Below are 24,025 nucleotides of genomic sequence, written 5' to 3' on the forward strand. Positions count from 1 at the left end.
TCTGGTTTCCTCTTATATTGGTTGCTCCTTTGTCGATCTCTTTTGCTGGTTCCTTCTTATTTCCCCAAACTCTTAATATTTTCGTGGTTAGAGCCCAGTCTTCAGACCGTTATCATCTTTATCCATACGAAGTCCCTCAGCAATTTCACTTAGTTAGATGGCTTTAATACCAACTGTACTTTAATGACTCTCCGATTTATATCTCCATATAGATGCTGTGACATGAACTCTACACTTTCATATCCAAAAGTACACACAGCATCTCTACTGAAGATTTAATAGCTGTCTCAAAATTAACATGTCCAAAACTCTTCCCTGTTCCTAAAGCTTGTACTTCCCAGAATAAATTCAGTGCTAAATTTATTTTTCCACTTCACTCATACCAAAAACATCTTTCACTCGTTTTTACTTCCTACTTAATATCCATTCTGGTTGCAAATCTCATCAACCCAACATTCAAAAGGCATTCATCTGAACACTTCACATCATTTCCACCACTGTAACATAGTATAAGCCGCTATCATCTCTCAATGGAAATTTGCAAAACATCTTTACTGTTCTTTTGGTTCCACCCTTGTCTTTCTATATTCTCTTCTCTACACTGACTTTAGAGTGATCCTTTTAAAAACATGTCATATTGTGTCACTCTTCTGCTTAGAATCCCCATAACTTCTCGTCTCACTCAAAAGAAAAGCTAAAGTCCCCTTAACACCCTATAAGGCTCTATAAAATCTCTTTCCTTATTTCCTTTCTGGTGATGTCTTTCATTACTCTCCTTCTTGCTCAATCTGCTCTAGACTTACCAACCTCCTTGGTATTCCTGAACACCCTAAAATGTCCACAGCTTGCCTGTGCTTTGCTGACCAGGATGTTTTTCTCTAATAACATCACTTGTCCCCTTTATTCTTCATATCCCTATTCAAATATAAACTTATTAATGAGAAATGTGTTAATCAACCATTTAAGAATACACACTCCTCACCCCTCTTCCTTATTGTCTTGTGTTTCCTCAAAACAGTCATTCCAATTTGCATACTCCATGTTGCAGTTATGTATGTTTTTTTATCTGTACCTTTCCTCTATGAAGTTAGGGATGTTTTATCTCTTTTCACTTTCATTTTTACTGCTGCATTCCTCAATTTTAGTAAGGATTTTGGTACATAGTAGAACTTGACATACAAATTGTAAGTGAATGAATGAATAATTAATTAATTAAACTAATATAGAGGCTTAGAGCCACTGATTGCTATGGCTGGCTTAATTGATCCCAGCCCACTTCCTGTAGCTGCTATTGGTTTTCCAAACACCAGGCATGTATTTTAAGTCAGGCAACTGGAGAGGCAAGTGAACTGATTGCTGAAGGCACAGTAAAAGGCTTATGTCATTTGAATATTGCAGCACTTCTCTCCCAGGGATTAGCGTGAACTAGGATAAATTTGGAGACAGAAGGGAGCGAGGGTTTGATGGACCTGCATAGTAGGTCACAAAGAATAAACATTCAAATTCATTCTATAAATGATAAATTACTTACTTGCACTAGACATAGAATGGAATATTATTTTGTGTCATTACTGGGGGAATTCACCTAGAACTCAGTGTGTGACTTAAAACCAGCCATTTTGTGATAATGATGTGGGAGTTCAAGATCAGGCTGACACAGATAAAGTTACATGCCAGGACCCAGGCAGGGATAAGGGGGTGGCTGGACTGAGTACCCGATTTAGTCTGCTTAAAAGCTTGGCCCAGTACTGCACAAAATGATGTGTGTGTGTGTGGCGGGGGGTGGGGAGGTCTTTATGTCTTTTACATTCATATTTGATATACACTAGCTTACTGTAGAAATACAGGTTTAAAAGAGCAGACTTGCTAAGGTTAATTCAGAAAGATTTAATTTGGGAAATTTATAATTGGCAGCAGTATTTCTGCTTTATAAATAAAGCATTCTGCCAGGAATGAGATGTAAGCTATACACAGAACTTACAACTTTGTATATAAGTATGTATCATTAGGTAGGAGTTTAAAAGATCTGATTATCAGTGCATAAATATTTTAGAGATTGCCTAAATATCTAAGCTATATAAACTGTATGTATTCCTTTAAAGTAGAAGCAAAAAATAAAGAGTCAGAGAGAGAGCAAATTGAAATGCATGTGGGTCAGCATACCATAAATATGTTAACTACAACCACCTCTCACAGAGAACAGTTAACACTTTTTGCATTTTGAAAAAAGACACTCCTCACCCTTCTTTTTTTAGATACAAAGAAGATAGAGTAGAAATACAAATGGATGCAGGGAGACCAGCGAAGGGTTTATTGCATTTGTCCTGATGAGAGATAACAAAAATTGAGTTAATATGTACAGATACAATCAGACACGTATGAGATACATTAAAATGTAGAATTGCTTGGACTTGCTACTGCTTACCTTTGGTGAAGTGTAGAGAAAGGGAGATGCTGTGAATGGCAGACTTTGGATTTTAGCACTTGGATCAATGGTGGCACCATTCACTAAGGAAAGGAGCTAATTAGGGCAGTTTTGTGTGTGAACATGTGTGTGTGTGTCTGTGTGTGAATTTAAATTCAAAATTATAAATTGTGAATCGGGCTTTGAAATATCTGTGAGACATCCCATTAGAACTAGTGAAAGTGCAAGTGGATATATAGATTTAAAACCCTGAATTGTCATCTAGACTTACTAAATAAATTTGAGTCATCTCTTTACAGATACAAACTGAAGGCAGAGGAGTTGATGAAATTTATATTAAAAACTTTTAGAAAAATGAGAAACTGGCCTAATATTTAATACTATAAATGGAGTCTACGTTTTTTTTTTCTATAAAGGGCCAGATAGTAAATATTTTAGGCTTTGTAGGTCAAATGGTCTCTGTCACTACTACACATTTGCCATTGTAGTGCTAAATTGGCCACAGTCAATATATAAATGAATGAGCATTATTATGTTCCAATAAATTTTTATTAGCAGATATTAGGAAGCAAATTGGACTTGACCCATGGGCCGTGGTTTGCTGACCCATGAACTAGGATTCTGGATCTAAATATCAGATAAGTGAAAATAAATTGGTAAAGATGTGGGAGAAGGCAGAAAAGATCAATTGAGAGTTGTGTTAGAGACACAGATAGAAGAGAGAATGCAAAAAAGATAAAAATTTTACAAATTTAAAAATCCCATTTGAGTTAGCCACATAATAGTCATTGATCACCTTGTTAAAATCCATTTTAAAGATATAGTAAAAAGTGAATGATGGTAATGGGTTGAAGAAAGAGTGGAAAGAGGGTAAATGGGCACAGTAAATACAAATAACTCTTTTATGAAAATTAGACACGAAGAGGACAGGGATAAAATGTACCTGGAAAGAAAAGGGTTTTCTCAACATGAATGTAAAGTGGATCTAAAATAGTCATTTACATCAAGATTGTATGTAGTCAGTATGTAGTGACATGTTTATGCACCCTATTTCAAGCTCCTTACTTCATTTTGTTCTCGCTAGTTTATGCTAGAGGCTTTGAGACTTGGTACAGCAACTGCAGATGACAATGTCAATGCTCAACAAAGATCTCTTTTCTGAGCCCTACTCATCTGTAAGGGCGTTAAGACCATTTTAGGAATAGACTTCTTTAGGATATGGGGTGGGGAAACTATTTCTTTCAGTGATTATATCTTGTACTAGTGACAGTTCTGGGTAACAAAACAACAAAAGTGAATGACTTTTATTAAATGTAGGGGTTTTATGTTAATTTGTTAGTAAACCAATTGTAAGCTGGCACCCCTGCGGATTCAGAAACCTAGTTAAACTTGATTTGTAATCTTGGAGAATCAGGAGGGCTCCTTGTAACTGCTGAAGATTAGCTTGTAGTTAACATGCCTATGTTATCCTCTGTTTCCACCCTGTTCTCCATCAGTCTGGAACAAATAAGCAGGTGCTTCACCATTTTCCACAAAATATTCCTTGCACCTTGATATGGTTTAGCTGTGTCCCCACCCAAATCTCATTTGAATTGTAACTCCCACAATTCCCACGTGTCATGGGAGGAACCCAGTGTTAAGTGATTGAATTATGGGGGCATTTCTTTCCTTTTTTGTTCTCATGATTGTGAATGAGTCTCAAGAGATCTGATGGTTTCATAAGGGGAAACCCGTTTCACTTGACTTTCATTCTCTCTTTGCCTGCTGCCCATTCAGGTAAGACCGGACTTGCTCCTCCTTGCCTTCCGCCATGATTGTGAGGCTTCCCCAACCACGTGGAACTGTAAGTCCAATTAAACATCTTTCTTTTGTAAATTGCCTTGTCTCCGGTATGTCTTTATCAGCAGTGTGAAAACAGACTAATACACACCTATAATTTATTGTATTTGTTTTCTGTAAATAACCACTTTCCATGACTTTTCTTTATTCAGCTTTAATCTGCTACACTTTCCTCTGCATGTGCTCCCTAGTTTTCTGGAGGGAACATACTCACTTTTCCAACTGTCTCAAGACAAATGCTTTTTGAGAACTTTTCCCTTTTTCTCCTTAAGAGAGAAGGTGCACAAACTACTAACAGTATAACAATTTCTGTATCTCATTACATTTGTGTTCACTCTTCTCTGGAAAAAATTGAGCACAGGATTTATGATAAGGGGCTTTCTCTCAGCCAGATTTTTGACCTTATTTAAAAGGCACTCCAAATTCCTACTTAAGTTTATCTTTCAATTAAAAATGCACATTAAAGACAAGTGCAAACCTGCAGAACTGCCTTAATTTTCTTCTCTCCTTTACAACCTGAATTACATAAAGAATTAATGCAGCATTTTAAAGTAGCTAAAATACTTCCATGTTGTAGCTTTAGGCAAGCGTTGTCCTTCACACTGCTTACATTGCAGCTTAATATTATCTAAGGACAATGGGCACCTTTAATGTACTCAGTTATTTACTTTATTAAGTATACCTTCATTCTAGCCTTAGAGATTGATGACTATTTAGAGTTCTAATTTATGTAAAATGTTAAATCCATATTTTAGACAAATTCATACTGATGAGGCCAAACTCAGAAAATATCTTTGTTTATATGTGACCTGAAGCCACTTTACATCCCATTGATAATGCTGTCAAATCTTTAGCTATGTAACTATTTTTAGAATTCCAATTTCTTTCAGAAGACGATGCTATATTTTTATCAATCTTTTATAGAGAATGGATATAAATTACCTATGCCATGGAAGTTAAGACCGACATAGGTATGGATTTGAATCCCAGAATCAGAATTAAGAGAGTAAGATAACTATGTGTTACTAGCAAAAGCTATAGATGCAGAAAAAGGTATGCTACCTAGCTTTTTAATTATTTCAACTGTTTTTGAGAAAAAAGATCAAGGACTCAAGCATCCTTTGTCCTGCAATACTCTGGAAAATGTCAGGCTTCTACTTATTAAAGACAAAATAACTGAAGACTTTATGATCTTGTCCCCCAATACCGAGCCTAGCAGATGCACCATAACCGTGAATATCCTCCAGCCAATTTTATGTGTTTTAGAAATTACATATTCTATCAATAATTCAAGGATAAAAATGATGGTAACTGGAGATGAGGCAAAGCAGGCTCCCGAGAGTATAAGAAAACAGATGAACAACAACCATTGTTCTGGCCAGAAGTCTAAGTGAAAAAGAGTTTTAGAGTACATTAAACTCACCTGGGGCAGGGGGTTTAAAAAATTCTGATACTCAGAATGTACCCAGATCAATTAAATCAGAATTTCTTGGCGTGAGACCCAAGTATAGGTATATTCTTAAAGTTATCAGGTAATTCTCATATGGGCTAAGCTTATGAATCATACATTTAGAGACTTTGGCAAATAAATGTTACAGACATCAGTGAGAAATAAATTTAATATTGTATCTAATTCTGCACACTTAAGCAAGTTTTATGTGTTTTTAGATTTAAAAAAATCCATATTTAAAGACTATTGACCTGATACTTGCAAATAGGATCAGTAGAATTTATTGGAATTATTTGATTGTGACAAGAAAGATCTGACTTGTCCTAATGACTAATCAACAACAAAATTGGGCCAGAGCAGATAATTCTAAGAATAAGAAGAGTTAGCTAATAAGCTAGAGGTCATTGTATCTACTTGTACCTAGGTATTTATATTTCTTTAAATTTTGCGCTAATTTTGAATGTCAATTAGATAACTCCAAAATACTATTTTTTTTTGTTTTGCCATTTACATAAAAATTAAAACATTTAAATTGAAAGGCATGCAAAACACTTTTTTCTAAATGAATATCATTGTTTCAAGACTTGCTTTTTCAACCAAAGAGCTTATGACCAATACCTTGAGTCAGATTTTCCTATTTCAGGGTTTCTTGAAATGTGGTTTATAGTTCACATGAATCACAGTAACACTGTCTATTAAAACTGAAGGTTCGTGATCTCTGCCTCAGATATACAGAATCATAATCTCCTAGTGAGAGGCTTTGTAACTTATTTACAATCTTCCCAGGAGATTTTGATACACACTAAATTTTCAGAATCTTTGCCTTACTTCCCTCGAAGTAAAACTCTAGATTTATACTTTCAGCAGTAGGATTAAATGTTTACATGCCACAGAAGGCCAGGAGAGGGCAGCAGAAAGCTGAAATTTATGGGAAAAAAAGGGAAGACTTGACCTTGGAAGTCCCCTAAAATTTGAGAGAACATACATCTAGAAAAATAGGTAAGAGTTTGTAACTGCGACTAAAAAGTAAATCTATTGGACCATTTTGGTAGGTAATTTAAAAAGAGAGCTGAAAAAGGTGAGAAGAGTTCATTCAAAACCATTTGTCAAAGTGGAAAGCAACTCAACTGGAAAACATGCCTAAGAAACTGATTTTTCGGCCATGAATATGCCCAGAATGAAGAAGACAGGCACTAGAGGAAAGGTACTAGAAGAAACAAGCTGAACAAAAAAGTACGACAAGTTAGTGGAGATGACTGTGAAAACATAATTCCATTGATGTATTAACTCATTTCCTTAAGAAAAAAATAATGGTGTTGATGATGCTGAGGAAATAAAATTTTAATTATAAATACGACAAAAGGAAAATAGCTAGTCTGTGACTAGTGACTAGTATTTGTTATGTAGTGATGGCAGATGGTCAAAAGATTACAGCTATTTTCAGAAATGGTTTAGAAGAAAAGAGGGTTGTCTTTTGATGAAAAGCTAGACTTTATTTATTTTAAGAATAGCTGACAACAAACACTTAATTGGAGGAAGTTTTTTACATTGTTGTAAATATTCTGCTGTATGGTAGTTAGGAAGGAAAATACAAACGAATTTTTTTCAGAAATCATTAATAGCCAATTGATCCTCAAGTTGAAAGAGAAATTAAATACTTATATATGGTCTCAGAAAGATAGTTTATAGGAAAAACAAAGTAACTATAAAGCTATCATAGTATATAATGCAAATATAAGACAGTCTACAGATATGAAAACCTGTTTGATGAAACTGAAACACTTGAGGTACTTCTACTAAAAGGCCCCACCATATATATATATGGTATATATATATATTTGGTATATGTCTATATATATAATACATATGGTATACATATATATTTGGTATATATATATTTGTGTGTGTGTATATATGTGTATATGTGTGTGTATATAGATATACACATATATACACACACATATATATACACACACATACACACACATATAAAAATATGAAAATGAAATGTATTTGATTGAATAATTTTAAGTGAAGAATTTAGGAGAATGTAAGAAGGTGTAACTAAACTGTGTCAAATGAACAATCAAAATATCTGTCAAAAGTATCCTATAATGATAATATAAATATAACAAACCAAGGACACAGGGTAAGAAGAGAAAATTGATGGGTTAAAATCCATCATCTTTTCAGTGCATTTTCATTACACTAAAAACTTAGGGAACCAAACACAAAGGCAGAGAGAGTTAGACAGGATTAGCCGCATTCTGTTCTTCAAAAAGCTCTTAAAAATAATGATTCTCAAAAAATAAGAAAGTAATATATTCTCAAAAGCAATAGTAGTAATAATTTGCTGAAGTTGCTTATCAGCTTAAGAAGCCTTTGGGCTGAGACGATGGGGTTTTCTAAATGTGGATCATGCTGTATGCTAACAGAGACAGTTTGACTTTTTTTCTTCCTATCTGAATACCCTTTCTTTCTTTCTTTCTCTTGCCTGATTGCCCTGGCCAGAACTTCCAAAATTGTGTTGAATAGGAGTGGTGAGAGAGGGCATCATTTTCTTGTGCCAGCTTTCAAAGGGAATGCTTCCAGCTTTTGCCCATTCAGTATGACATAGTGGGTTTTTCATAAATGGCTCTTATTATTTTGAAGTATGTTCCATCAATACCAAGTTTATTGAGAGTTTTTAACATAAAGGAATGTTGAATTTTATCAAAGGCCTTTTCTGCTTTTTGTTTGTTTTTCTTTTAACAGTCAGGTTCCTCTTCTGTAAGACTGCTGAGATTTGCTGGGGGTCCACTCCACACCCTATTTGCCTGGGTTCCTCCCGCACCTGGAGATGTCACCGGTGGAGGCGGCAGAACAGCAAAGATGGCTGCCTGCTCCTTCCCCTGGGATCTCCATCCCAGAGATGCACCGACATGATGCCAGCAGGAACGATCCTGTATAAGGTGTCTGGTGACCCCTGTTGGGGGGTCTCACCCAATCAGGAGGCACTGGATCTGGGTCCTGGTTAACGAAGCACTCTGGCTGCCCCTTGGCGGAGAGGGTGCCCCGCACAGGGTGAAATCCCACTCATCCAGATTGCCTGGATTCTTCAGAGCCAGCAGGGGGAAAGACTAAGTCTACTGATTTATGGAGACCATGGCCACCCCTCTCCTTGAGGGCTCAGTCTTAGGAAGATCAGAGTTCTTTCCCTAAACCCCTGGCTATAGTTGCTGAAATTCCTGCAGGGCGGTCCCACCAGTGAGGAGGGATGGGTGCAGGTCTGGCCTAAAGAGGCAGTCTGGCCACAATCTGCCATAGCTGCTGTGCTGTGCTGTGGGAAATTCCTCCTGGGTCCAAACTATCCAGTCTCCTCAACACTGGCAGGGGAAAAACGGCAGACAGGAGCTTCAGTGATGGCTGCTGCTCCTCCCCCAGGAAGCTCAGTCAACTTAGGCAGCAGGCAGCCACAGTGATGGCATCCGCCCCTCTCCCCAGTTACTTGGTAGCCTTAGGCAGTTTCCGGCTGAGTGGCTGCTGAGAATCTGCACGGCTCTGTGCTTGGTACCCAAGGCCCTGGTGGCATGGGCTCATGAGGGGGATCACCTGATCCACTGGTTTCACAGATCTGTGGAAAAAGTGTGGTTTCTCAGGCAGGGTAGCATGATCACTCACCACCTCCCTTGGCTGGGGGTGGGGGCTCCCTTGCCCCATGTGGATCCAGGTGGGCCGTCGCACCATCCTGCTTTTCTTTGCTGTCAGTGGGTCATGCCAACTATCTAGTCAGTCCCAATGAAAGAACCTGGATACCTCAGTTGCCAGTGCAGGATTCACTTGCCATTTTCATTCTTCTCAGTGAGATCCTCTGACTGCAGCTGCTTCTAATGGGCCATCTTGGCCCCTATCTTGGTTTTCTATAAACATTTATTTTGTGTATGTAACCCTAGAATGTTGTATAAAGGATAGTTATGCCAGCTTAGACAGAAGCATGATACACTCTTTACCTATATTCAGATAAATTTAAAAAGCTTTGTATGGCTGCTGAGATGACAAACGGATGAATTGTCTGTTGTCTATTAGGCATAACCACCACATGCAAGACTGGAAACACTTCATTATTATATTCTTTCCTATATGGATCCAGATTAGACTTTACCAATGAGAGGAACTAGCGCAGGATTTGGGAAACAGAAGTGAAGCAAAGGCTGTAATTCTAAAGAGAACATAGCTGTCAGACTGCCAGATACAGTGGCTTCATCTACACATGGTGGCTTCACAGGCTGTTCCATCAGTTACATATCACAGGCTTTCCCACCAGTTACACATATAGTAATGAACTATATAAAACTGTCTATAAGCTCCCAATTCATGTCAGTTTGGTAGCTAAACATTTTTCCCCAACCCACAGTAGCTTTTCAACTTACTCCAGTGCATCAGACTAAAGTAGTAATGACCTTTTTTATAATCTTGTTGTAGCCTTCCAGATCTTTATTCCTCAAATCTCTCCCACATCTGTGCAAACTCAGATTCCTATAATAAAGTGCTTCATCTGTAATAATTTTGGTTGGCTCTGTTTTACTGTTCAGGATTAATAATAGTGCCACTCTATACCATATTGGAGCCTTAGTCAAATGGGAAAAATAAGTATTACTCATTATTCTTTAAATTATTATTTAAATTGTCATTATTTAAATTGTTTTAATAATTTAAATATTATTTAAATTATTATTTAGAATTTTAATATTTTTCTCACGAATTTAAAAAATCTAATTGATTTATTTAAATATTACTTGAAAATATTTTTGATCCAGAGTTTTTTTTGGTGCACCTTAACTTTTGCTCCCAAGGAGAGTCCCTGACTCACCTCACCTTGGTCCTCACCCTGGCCCCAGAATATGTCATAGGAAGGTGTATCACTATTCACTACTTTTTATTTACCTTGCTCAGTCAGAACAATGATATCAATGAAGCAAACCAGAATGATATCCAAAATTCATTCCTGAAAAGTAAATTATTATTATTATAAGGCTAGACATGAATTTATATAGCTCTGAGGTAAGATAGTAAATGTATACTGACACATATTGCATGTTTTCTTTGTCAGGAGAAGGCAAACTTATCCTGTCTGTCTCTACTAACAGATTATAATGTGTGTGTGTATGTGTGTGTGTTAGCTTGAATATTAGTTGCATATCAAGTATCAAGGCTGTGTTGATTTGCTCCAGGAAAAAAATCAGGAAAAGGAGCTGAAAATGGAGTTAAAATATGATTAAATTTACAGTAATCCACTATCATTCTCCAATATCCATCTGTGTCCTTCACAGACAGTCAAACAGACAAGCAAAATGGGGCACAATAGTAAGAATCACTACCCCTTTCTCCTTTAAGTCTATGATGGTAACACACAACTTCGCCATCTTTCCAGGGATGTAGCATCGGTTTTGAATTATTATTTTAATAGGGAGAAGCAGTTCTAATTTCTTTCCTCTTTCAAGTCTTACCATGATAGTTCTTACTCCACAGGTCAGGAAACTTGTAAGGAAATTCTACTGTTTGTTGAATATGTCTATTTCAACCGTGCAGTCTGGAACTGGGATAAATAACTACAGAATGTATTTAGAAACCCACTGAACCTACCATGAGAGAGACTAAAGCCAAAACATCATTAAGAAACTAAACCCACTAGTCCTACTTGCAGTGGCACACCAAAATGGCATTTTGGGTTTCAAGGAATTAATTTCAGTTTAGAGCCAATTTCAGTAATTTCTGAAAAATCTGGGAAGTAACCTTCTTGTAGATTCAAGTACTCAGCTTAGAAAACCAAAACAAAATGAAACAAACACCTCTATAAAGGTTTATTTGTCACTTACAACTGAAATAAAATTTTGGCAGACTGTACATCAATTTCAACCCAAGGGACATCAACAATGGTAAGTACTGCCCCAACCTTACTGCTCATTATAGTTATCCACAATCGTCTTGTCTGATTTACCTTCATGTAAGGCCAAACCTAGCAAGACTTTCATCTAAGAGCCTGGTCTATTTCACCAGGGCCTCCCCACATGGAAGGTCTCAATTGCAATTTCTTTCTTCTTGGGCTGATGAGACAGCTAAATTCTCTGCTTATCTTTGAGAGGCTATTTAGTTATTTACTTCATTGTAAATGCAACTTTACATTTTGGCAAATGTCTTTAGGGGAAAAAGGCTTACTTATAGGCTCAGCTCTCATTCCTCCCTTCTCATTTGGCTAACTCTTTTTTTCTTCATTTTTATGTTAGATGTATGTATTTATGGTGTACATAAGATATTTTAAAACAGGCATATCATATGTAATAATTACATCAGGGTAAATGGGGTATCCATCACCTCAAGCATTGATCATTTCTTTGTGTTACAGACATACAATTATACTGTTTTAGTTGTTTTAAAATGTATAGTAAATTATTTTTGACTGTAGCCAGCTTGTTGTGCTCATTCATTCTATCTAATTCTGTTTTTATATCCATTAAACATTCCCCTCCCACCCACTATCCGTCCCAGCCGCTGGTAATCATCATTCTATTCTCTATCCCTGTGAGTTTAATTGTTTTAATTTTGTAGCTTCCACAAATGTGTGAAAATGTATCCCACTTCTGTACCTTGCTTATTTCACTAACACAATATTCTTTCAGTCCATCCGTGTTGTTGCAAAAGACCGTATCTCATTATTTTGTATGGCTGAATAGTACTCTATTGTGTATATTCTTTATCTATTCGTCAATTGAAAGACACATTGCTTCCAAATTATGGCTTTTGTGAATAGTTTTGCAATAAATGTGGGAATGAAGATATCTGTTTAATATACTTATTTGCTTTCTTTTGGCTATATACCTCACAGTGGGATTTCTGGTTCATATGTTAGTTCTATATTTAGTTTTTTGAGGAACATCTTAGTGGCTGTACTAATTTACATTCCCACCAACATTGTAGGAAGCTTCCCTTTGCACCACACCAGAATTCATTATTGCCTGTCTTTTGGATAAAAGCCATTTAACTGAAGTGAAATATTCCATTGTAGTTTTGATTTGAATTTCTCTGAGGATTAGTGATATTGAGCACGTTTTTATATGCCTGTTTGCCATTTGTATGTCTTCTTTTGAGAAATGTCTATTCTGATCTTTTGCCCTTTTAAAAATCATATTATTTTTTTCTCTTGAATTGTTTGAGCTTCTTACATATTCTGGTTATTAATCTCTTGTCAGATGGATAGTTTGCAAATATTTTCTTCCATTCTGTGGGTTGTCTCTTCCTTCAGTTGTTTGGTTCCCTGGCTGTGCAGAAGATTTTTAACTTAAAGTGATCCCATGTGTCCATTTTTGCTCTGGTTACCTGTGCTTTTGGAGTATTACTCAAGAATTTTTTGCCCACCCAAAGTCCTGGAGAATTTTCCCAATGTTTTCTCTTAGTAGTTTCATATTTTGAAGGCTTAGATTTAAGTCTTCAATGCATATTGATTTTATTTTTGTTATGATGACAGATAGGGGTCTAGTTGTATTCTGCATATGAATATCTAGTTTTTCAAACACCATTATTGAGGACTCTATGCTTTTCCCAGTGTATGTTCTTGGTATCTTTGTCAAAAATGAGTTCACTGTAGATGGATGGATTTATTTCTGGGTTCTGTATTCCATTCCATTGGACTACGTTTCTGTTTTTATGACAGTACCATGTTGTTTAGATTATTATAGCTCTGTAGTATAATTTGAAGTCAGCTAATCTGATTCATTGAGTTTTGTTCCTTTTGCTTGAGATGGTTTTGGCTATTATGGGTTTTTTGTGGTTCCAAATAAACTTTAGGATTGATTTTTTAATTTCCATAATCAATGTCACTGGTATTTTGATAGGGATTGCATTAAATTTGTAGATTGCTTTGGGTAGTCTGAATATTTTAACAATATTGATGCTTACAATCCATGAACATGGAATATCTTTCTATTTTTTGTATGTCCTCTTCAATTGTTTACATTAATATTTCACAGTTTTCATTGTAGAGATCATTCAGGTTTTTTTTTTATTATTATACTTTAAGTTTTAGGATACATGTGCACAATGTGCAGGTTTGTTACATATGTATACATGTGCCATGTTGGTGTGCTGCACCCATTAACTCGTTATTTACATTAGGTATATCTCCTAATGCTATCCCTCCCCCCCTCCCCTAACCCCACAACAGGCCCTGGTGTGTGGTGTTCCCCACCCTGTGTCCAAGAGCTCTCATTGTTCAATTCCCACCTATGGGTGAGAACATGTGGTGTTTGGTTTTCTGTCCTTGCGATAGTTTGCTCAGAATGATGGTTTCCGGCTTCATCCATGTCCCTACAAAGGACATGAACTCATCCTTTTTTACAGCTACATAGTATTCCACGGTGTATATGTGCCACATTTTCTTAATCCAGTCTATCATTGATGGACATTTGGGTTGGTTCCAAGTCTTTGCTATTGTGAATAGTGCTGCAATAAACATACGTGTGCATGTGTCTTTATAGCAGCATGATTTATAAGACTTTGGGTATACACCCTGCAATGGGATGGCTGGGTCAAATGGTATTTCTAGTTCTAGATCCTTGAGGAATCACCACACTGTCTTCCACAATGGTTAAAGTAGTTTACATTCCCACCAACATTGTAAAAGTGTTCCTATTTCTCCACATCCTCTCTAGCACCTATTGTTTCCTGACTTTTTAATGATTGCCATTCTAACTGGTGTGAGATGGTATCTCACTGTGGTTTTGATTTGCATTTCTCTGATGGCCAGTGATGATGAGCATTTTTTCATGTGTCTATTGGCTGCATAAATGTCTTCTTTTGAGAGGTGTCTGTTCATATCCTTTGCCCACTTTTTGATGGGGTTGATTTTTTTTTGTAAATTTGTTTGAGTTCTTTGTAGATTCTGGATATTAGCCCTTTGTGAGATGGGTAGATTGTAAAAATTTTCTCCCATTCTGTAGGTTGCCTGTTCAGTCTGATGGTAGTTTCTTTTGCTGTGCAGAAGCTCTTTAGTTTAATTAGATCCCATTCATCAATTTTGGCTTTTGTTGCCATTACTTTTGGTGTTTTAGTCGTGAAGTCCTTGTCCTGAATGGTATTTAGTCATGAAGCCTATGTTCTGAATGGTATTGCCTAGGTTTTCTTCTAGGGTTTTTATGGTTTTAGGTCTAACATTTAAGTCTTTAATCCATCTTGAATTAATTTTTGTATAAGGTGTAAGGAAGGGATCCAGTTTCAGCTTCCTACATATGGCTAGCCAGTTTTCCCAGCACTATTTATTAAATAGGGAATCCTTTCCCCATTTCTTGTTTTTGTCAGCTTTTTCAAAGATCAGTGATCTTTGAGGCATGCTATTTTCTTGGAGTCTTGTTTCATTCTTTTTTCCTTTGCCTTCTCTGACTGTGTGTTTTCAAATATCCTGTCTTCAAGCTCACTCATTTTTTCTTCTGCTTGATCAATTCTGCTGTTAAGAGACTCCGATGCAATCTTCAGTATACTAGTTGCGTTTTTGAGCTCGACAATTTCTGCTTTTTAAAAATTATTTTAATCTCTTTGTTACATTTATCTGATAGGTTTCTGAATTCCTTCTCTGTGCTATGATTAAAATTTGTTGAGCTCCCTCAAAACAACTATTTCGAATTCTCCGAATAATCACATACATCTGTCACTCTGGGATTGGTCTCTGGTACCTTACTTAGTTTGTTTGGTGAGTTCATATTTTCCTTGATGCTTGGAGGTGTTCTTTGATGTCTAGGTCTTGAAGAGTTAGGTATTTATTGTAGTTTTCTTGGTCTGGGCTTGTTTGCACCTATCCTTCTTGGGAAGGCTTTCGGAGTATTCAAAGGGAATTGAGGCATCTAAGCCTCTAGATAAAGTTCTTCCCACTCTTCCCTCTCTTTTCTCCTTTCCTCATGCAGAGTTAGTCTTTCCCCATGGCCACCACTGCCCCAGGGCCATGGCGAGTACTGTCTGACTATTACTGATATTCGCTCAAGCCTAAAAGGCTCTTCCGTCAGCTTGTAAATGCTGCTAGGCCTGGGTATCCCTCATCAGGGCAGTGACCTCCCCTCTGGCTCAGAGCAGGTCCAGAAATGCCATTCAGGAGCCAAGGCACAGAATCAGGACCCCAGGATACTGCTAAGTGCTCTACTCCACTGTGGCCAAGCTGGTGCCTAAGCTGCAAGACAAAGTCCCCTTTACTCTTCTTTCTCCTTTCCTTTAGCAGGAGGATACTCTCTTCATGGTCACCACAGCTGGGGATGAGCTGAGTCACGCTTGAAGCCACCATGGCCCTGGGTCTTACCCAAAGCCCACTGTGAGTGCTGCCTGGGTACCGCTAGTGTATATTCAAGGCCCGTGGATTCTTGAGTCAGCATGTAATGAATCCTGCTAGGAGTAGGTCTTTCCCCTCAAGGCAGCAGGTTCCCTTTTGGCCTAGGGTGTGTCTAGAATTGTCATGCTAGCTAGGACATGAAATGTGGGCCACAGAATTCTGCCCGGTGCCCTATTCTACTGTGGCTGAGCTGGTATCCAAGTTGCAAGACAAACCCTGTTTATTCTCCCCTCTCCTCTTTTCAAGCAGAGGAAAGAAATCTCTCCCATAGCTGTGAGCTGTGCTTCTTGGGGTTGGGAAAAGGGTGATGCCAGCATTCCCATGACTGTTCTAGCTGGTGTCTCACTAGGTCTTGTGCACTGCAAGTCCACTGGCTCTAAGACCAGCACAGCACCAGGATTTGCCCAGGAATTGCTATCCTGTGGCCTAAACTGCCTTCAAGTGTACGACCCCAGAGTGCTTTATGCTATGGTGGTGGAGCTTACTGGAACCCTTTTTGCACCACAAAGTTGCTTCTGGGGGAATGGGGAAGGGGTAGTTTCTGCAATCCAAGATTGTCTTTCCTACCATCTTCAGTGCCTCTTTTCTTGATATGATATTAAAACCAAGTACTGTGATTGCTTACCTAATTTTTAGTTCTTAATGAAGGTATTTTCTTGTGTGGATAGTTGTTCAATTTGATTTTCCTGAAAGTGGGACATTCACTGGAGGGTTCTCTTTTTATTGCTTTTTGTTGTTGTTTCTCAAGTCTCTTTAGCCTTCTGAATGAATTGAAATCTCTATTTCTTTTCTGCTTCTCAAAAGTAAGCTTTTCTCAGGCAAAACCCAGATTCTTGAACTCTTGCCTAGGGACCAGAATCAGAAAGTGTCCAGAGGGAAGAAGGCAATAGCCTGTCATGTCATCTCTTCACAGTTCTCTTGTCTCCTCTATTTCAGGTTGATTCTTCAGCTCTCCAAAGTCAATACGAACATACATTTGTGTATTTTCCATCTGAGTTATTCTCAAAAGGGTCATTGGTAAGCTACAAACAACTCCTTCATACCTAGAAATACAAGTCATGCTAATTATGTGTAAGTAAATAAAATAGTTTTCCTTGGCTGGTTAAGTTTAACTGGAGCATTTTTGGGTTAACAACTGGTATGCACCACGTTTCTTCTCATATTGATTTATAAAGTTATAGATAAAAGAAGGCCATCCTGCTTTTTTTCTCATCATTTTTTTCTTTTTTTTCCTAGAGCAATATACAGATTCAGGTCTATGCATTTGGATATTTTATGAATTTTACTTTTGCTTCTCTACTGTTTTTTTTTCCTGATCTGTTATTTTTAGATGAAATTGTTTAATTTTAAAGTTCTCTTATGTCCCCCATATCTATCTTTTACTTTCTTATCCTCTGCATATTTCCATTACTGTATTTTGAATTTTGAGAAGAATCCCTCAACCTTTTTTCTATGCCAGTAATATACTTCACTAAAAGGTGAGTTCTGTAGTTAGGATTTAATTTTGTTAACCCATTTTTTCTTTGGTATATGTGTCATACACACTCATACTTAAATATCAGCTCACCTTTTCTTATGCCCTTGATTATCTTTCATGAATATGAATATTGCCTCCATGTCAAGAATGTCAAAGAGATTTTGAACAGTTTTCCTGTTTTTAGCTAAGAACCTTTTCCCAGTTAAGACTTTCTTTGAAACAATAGGCAACTATTTTCCATGCCTTTCAATAAGTTTTCAACAATGAATTATTAGGGTTTTATTTTTCTTTAACTATGTTGTAGAGAGAAAAGATTTATCTGACCAGGAGTTTGCCAATAGACAGGGCATTTGCCTTGCTTATTTTCCATTTTTAGGTTAGGTAAAAATCTTTATCACAGCTAGAATGAGAGTGTGAGGTGGTAGTTCAGGTTATACCCTATGTCCAGGACTTAGTGAGCATTCAGCTAGTGCAGGGTTGAAGTGGGTTGTTCCTTGACCACCAGACCTGACTCTTTTTATTAGTTCCTGATTTTTGACAAAGGGAATTTGTCAGTGATTGTTGCTGAATCAATACATTTGTAGGGGGACAGATGGGGAAGGAAGGTCCAGGGCTTCCTATTCTACCATGTTGCTTCTGTGATGATTCTTATATTTATTTCTGAAAATAAAGATAATGAAATGATTCAATGAATGTATCATTGTATACACATACACACATATACGTGTATACATATATATGTGTGGGTGTGTGAGAGTTAAATAATGAAGAAAAACATTAGCGATTAAAAAAAGGATCATGAGTAAACCAACATTTCTCAATTTTGTAGCTGATTTAGCAATTTTTTTCAATTTTTCCATGTTATAATACATTTCTAAAAGTTTCTAAAAATAAAGACTCCTAGTATACAATTTTGGTGACTATGTCCCCATTCAATGTTAAAAGAGTTTTCTTTTTTAATTTTGACTCTATGAACTCTGTGAACATTTGATATCAGTACAGTACTTGATTCTGTAACAAGTAAACATGACCAAGTTTCATTTCTCTCTTCCTTCCTCAAATGAGTGCTTGTGGCATAAATTAGTCCACACATGGTTATGCATCATTGCTCACTGACATCTCTGTGTGACATACAATTTTAAAAATCACCTTGAAACAAAACTCAAGCTGTGAGACACCAGATGGGAACTGGATTTTAAAATATATTCTGTGATTTCTTTTCAAACTTGGTTTACAGTTATTACATAAAACTATAGAAAAATGTTCAGATATTTAAATTTTTACAGGTCAGTCAGAGACAGAGAGAGGTGACGACTTTAAATAATCCAGTTATCAAATTGTAACAAAGATTTCTTATTGAATGATCTGTATTGCACATTGGTATTACATAAAATTAATATTCTCGGCCGGGCACGTTGGCTCAACCTGTAATCCCAGCACTTTGGGAGGCTGAGGCGGATGGATCACGAGGTCAGGAGATCGAGACCACCCTGGCTAACATGGCGAAACCCCGTCTCTACTAAAAATACAAAAAATTAGCTGGGCGTGGTGGCGGACACCTGTAGTCCCAGCTACTTGGGAGGCTGAGGCAGGAGAATGGCGTGAACCTGGGAGGCGCAGCTTGCAGTAAGCCGAGATCACGCCACTGCACTCCAGCCTGGGTGACAGAGCGAGACTCTGTCTCAAAAAAAAAAAAATAAATAAATAAAATAAAATAATATTCTGTGATTTTCTGTTAGTTACATTCTTGAATAGTCTACTTTTTATCATTTTAAATGTTTGTGATCCTTCTAGAGTCTTACCACCAAAATTTAGAATGTATTGTATTAAAACAATATCTTCTATCTTCTATTTTGGAAATAAAATATGTTCTTCAATTTTGATGCCAGTTTTGATGCTTAAGTTAGTTGTTTTATCACATAAACTCTGAGCTAAAAACCACTCCATCTGCAAATTTAAATCATAGGAATATTTTTAGGAATACAATCTGAAATTGGAACCTTGAATGTAAGTCTTATCAAGAAGTAATGACTACTGACCTCCTTCACCTATGTTCTTGCTGACGGATATAATACAAGTAAACTGATGCCAGACAAAGTCAAACATATTTTGGCCATATTAGCATCATTCCACTTTTTAAAAGGAAATAATTACTTTCCCTTTCTTTTCCTTATCCTGGCTTCATATATACCTACATTAAAACAAATCACTTAATTCTAAATGTGGTCATAGTCATAACAACAGTTGAAAGAAATAATGAAATTTTAATAGTCCCTTATCTAACCCAATCAATTTATGAAACATAATCTTCTTATAAATCAGTCATCAGGAATCTGAAAAGCACATGATTAGATGATCTAAAAGTATTTCTTAGCCATCTGGGAGTGTGCAGATTGGTAGAGCTACCACTGACATAATGATGAAAGAAACTCCTTTAAGATATTTTGATTTGAGAGGGCAGGCCAGTGGGGTGCAGTTCTGGATCAATTAGGAGAAAGAAGGAGAGAAGGGAGAATGAGAGAATATTCATGAAGACTAATCACAAGGACTAGGAACTAGACTGGGAGCTAAGATTGAGAACATAGTTTTAGATTTGAGCTGCTTATAATTTGAGGAACGGCATGGACCATTGAGGAGTCTATTCTTGGTACAAAGATCTTATCATTTTTAAAATATGGCATTGAGCCTAAATCATAGATTTGCTAGATTTTTTCCCCCAGAAACAGTAGCTAGACAAAGAGTAGTCACATTAAAATAATTAAGATAATAATTCTGATTCAGTTATTTCATTGATTCCTAATAGTCATTAAAACTGACAAAAGACCGAGGGTAGCTCTAGCTGTTAAATAAGCCATTTGATACACCCCCACACTGTGGAAACTAAGATTGTGAAGAAGTTAATCGGGATTAATGACTAGGGGTTTAAACAAATCACTTATCTTAAAAATCCAATCAGAAAAAAAATGTTTAAAAGCAGGTAGAAAGAGATAGTATGGTAAGTGTGGTTGAGATCTGGAGTTGCATCCAGCTGGATTCAGGTCATGTTTTTCTAGCATTATTTGCTGTGTGACCCAATTTAAACTACTTACTCTGTGAAACTCAGCTTCCTCATATAAAATGAGCATAATAATATAAACTGTATGTTTATGAGGATTAAATGAGATAAAGCATGGTGCAGTACTTGGCACAGTGACTGGTACATATCAAATACATAATATATTTTAGTTATTGTCATTACTGTTAACGTAATCATTTTGATGTCTGGTTATAGGTGACAGCTCCCCGGTTTAGAGACATAAAGGGATCACGCTTCAGACTTAAACAAGAACCATACATTGAAACCCGGTCAATCAGCTTTGTCAGGAAATCTGCTGTAGCTAGAAAGGAAACAACAGTGGAGATTAAAATTGGAAACTGAGGCATGGCAAACCAATGATCCTCAAAAAGATAGGGGATCAGGGGTTCTCAACCTGACTTGGCCATGTTGAAGTCAGAGGGGGAGGTAAACGGAAATCTAGACAATTTTTTTGAATGCAGTATAACTCATGGACATGAACACAAGGAGCAAAAAAAAAAAAAAAAAATTGGTAATGATGAAGTAACAATAGGACCAGGAATATACTGATGTCATTACCCAAGTGTGACCTAGTACTCTTTAAGTGCCTATTGGCTATAATAACACTATTGATCAAAACCTTGTTACCAGCCATAGGTAATCACTAACTGTTGAGAAGTTCTGATATTGCAGGAATTTCAGGATGGGGGCCACGCAAATCATTATATTGTGGGTCAGAATTTTGGAAGGATTTTATAATAGGTTTATTTATCTTTGCTAAAAATCTCTGATACTGGCTTCAGCTTAGTCCAACAAGTGATCATGTCTTTTGAAATGCCTACCTATCACCTTACTGGCAATTTTCTTTTCTTTCTTTTTTTTTTTTTTCAAGTTTCTGTTAGCACAGGCAACCTTTCTGTAGTTGTAGATTGGTTCATCTTTCTGTCTTCCTTCATAAAAACTTTTAAAGAAATGTCAAGAGAAAATAATTTCTGATATATGACTGAACTTTGCATTTAGTTTCAAATTTCTGAAACTACAAATGACACATGTGAGACAAGGAATAAACACTTTTTATAGATAAATCAAATGATGGATTTATGGATCTGGGAGTGGAAACTTAATAGAATAAATGGGGATTGGGAGATTACTAATATAAATGCTACCCATATAAGCAAATGCAATAGTGAAATCATAGAGGGAAATGAGAAAATAGAGGTCAGATATTATGATTGTAAAAAAAAATTGGGGTACATTAAGTTTTTTCATTTTTTCTCCTGTTCATTGCTTTGCTATTCCTGTTTTTTTTTACTGTCATAATAACTAAAAGTATTACTAAAATGCAAAGGATTCACATGTTTATTTCTAGTTTTACCAAAGAAATGGTGAGGTAGAAACTCTGTTCTGTATCCAGTCTTTAAAAATTATCTACAAGAGATGGAATAGGAAGTGGTAGCGATGTAGTGAAAAAGCAGCCCAAATCATTTGTACATACAGTAGAAAATAGATGAATATGAACAAAATGAGTTGATTTCAAGAAAATTTCTAGGATTCTATTTCATTAATCTTTTCTTCTGCAAAAAAACAGATAAAATGAAAATGTATTATATAGTAGGCTTTGTAGGTGACTGCTTGGCAAGATGGTATTCCAGGCTGACATGAAATGCTAACACTATAAAATATACACATAGATCATGGTTTCAGAGTTAAGCGAAGACAATACATAGAGGCTCAATCTATTAGTCAGTTTATGTAAGAAAATATGGCTGCAGTTAGAAAGCCAAAAAAAAAAAAAAGTAAATCTTTACATGCACAAAAAGGAGAAAATTTGATGTGAGAGCTTTATATGCAGACAAATGCAGTACTGGCTGAGGATCGTGTAGGAAAAGATTAGTATATAAGATCTAATAGTGGGGAACTATGGTTTAAATGCCCAAAAGTAAGCAAAAGATATGGCTTTAAGCCTACTCAAAATGCAGCTCAAATTAAGAAGTTTTCATAAATGGAGAACCTTCAAAGACTAATGAGCATATGAAAAGAAGAGAAGTTTTAAATCTTTGCTCACTGGTTCATGTATATCTGAAAGATACTGCAAAGAGCCCATTAAAAGAGAACATTCATAGGATCCAACTTCGATTTCACAAGTTCAAGTTAGCTCTGTGCTTTAAAACCATTTTCCATGAGAAAGGGGTTAAACTTATGATGACATTTAATGTGTCAATAATGATGGACATTTAACACATGGATAGTCTCATAATGACTTCAGAGATGCAAAGCACCAGATTAGTAAGGAGCTTATTCACCAAAACAAGCCAAAAAGTGGATGAACATCTTTGAAGAGTTGTTAACTATGTTCTACAAGCCTACAAATCTACTGTTCTTAGTAAGTAAAATCCGAAATGCTCCATGCTCAAATGCTTTTGTCGAGAGGATATTTATTTTGATATCATCACATTGAACTGACACCAAGAATCGGTGTAACATGGGCTTGTTGAAGGCAGAGCTGCATGTTAAAGTGAATTTAACATTTGCTGTCTGCAGTTTTACCACTCTATAAAAGAAGATGCCCTAAACGCTGCAGGCACTAAGAGAATTATTAATGGATTAGGACACAGAAAATTAAAATACTCTATTGTGCCATGGGACAGAAAGAAATATGTCATTGTTTTTTGCAATAGCAATATCTGTTCATAAATAGTAATACTGTATAAGTGGTTTGTAAACAATTTACAATTATAGTATCTGTTATTTTAAAAAAATGAACAGTACAATAAATCATCACTTAACCTCATCAGTAAGTTCTTGGAAACTGTGACTTTGAGCAAAACAATGTATAATGAAACGAATTTTACCATAGGCTTATTGATATAAACAGGAGTAAAAGTTCCTAAAGTAGATTTGTTGTCACAAAAACATAACCAAACTTCTAAACAGACTCAAAACGCTTCTAATATTAAACATTGAAATAAATGTAAGCCATATTTACATTTAAGAAAGATTAATAAAAACAAGTAAAATAATTATTTACCTTATTTTTGGTGATTAGTGACAGTGGTGATGTCAGAAATTGTCAGGAGTTCCTCCTGTCACCATGCAATTGAGTCATTTATTGTCATGCATTTATATGATTATTGTAGACTTATTAAAAATTTTTATTTTACAATAATTTTTCATTTATTTTCTAACCCATATATTCCACTCAAGGGAGGTGGGTGGGCTGGGCACGGTGGCTCACTCCTGTAATCCCAGCACCTTGGGAGGCTGAGGCTGGCTGATCACGAGGTCAGGAGATGGAGACCATCCTGGCTAACAGGGTGAAACCCCGTCTCTACTAAAAATACAACAACAACAACAACAACAACAAAAACAAAATAGCCAGGTGCGGTGGCGGGCGCCTGTACTCCCAGCTACTCGGGTACTCGGGAAGCTGAGGC

The sequence above is a fragment of the Homo sapiens genome, chromosome 14, assembly GCF_000001405.40.
Source record: "Homo sapiens chromosome 14, GRCh38.p14 Primary Assembly".
Lineage (NCBI taxonomy): Eukaryota > Metazoa > Chordata > Mammalia > Primates > Hominidae > Homo > Homo sapiens.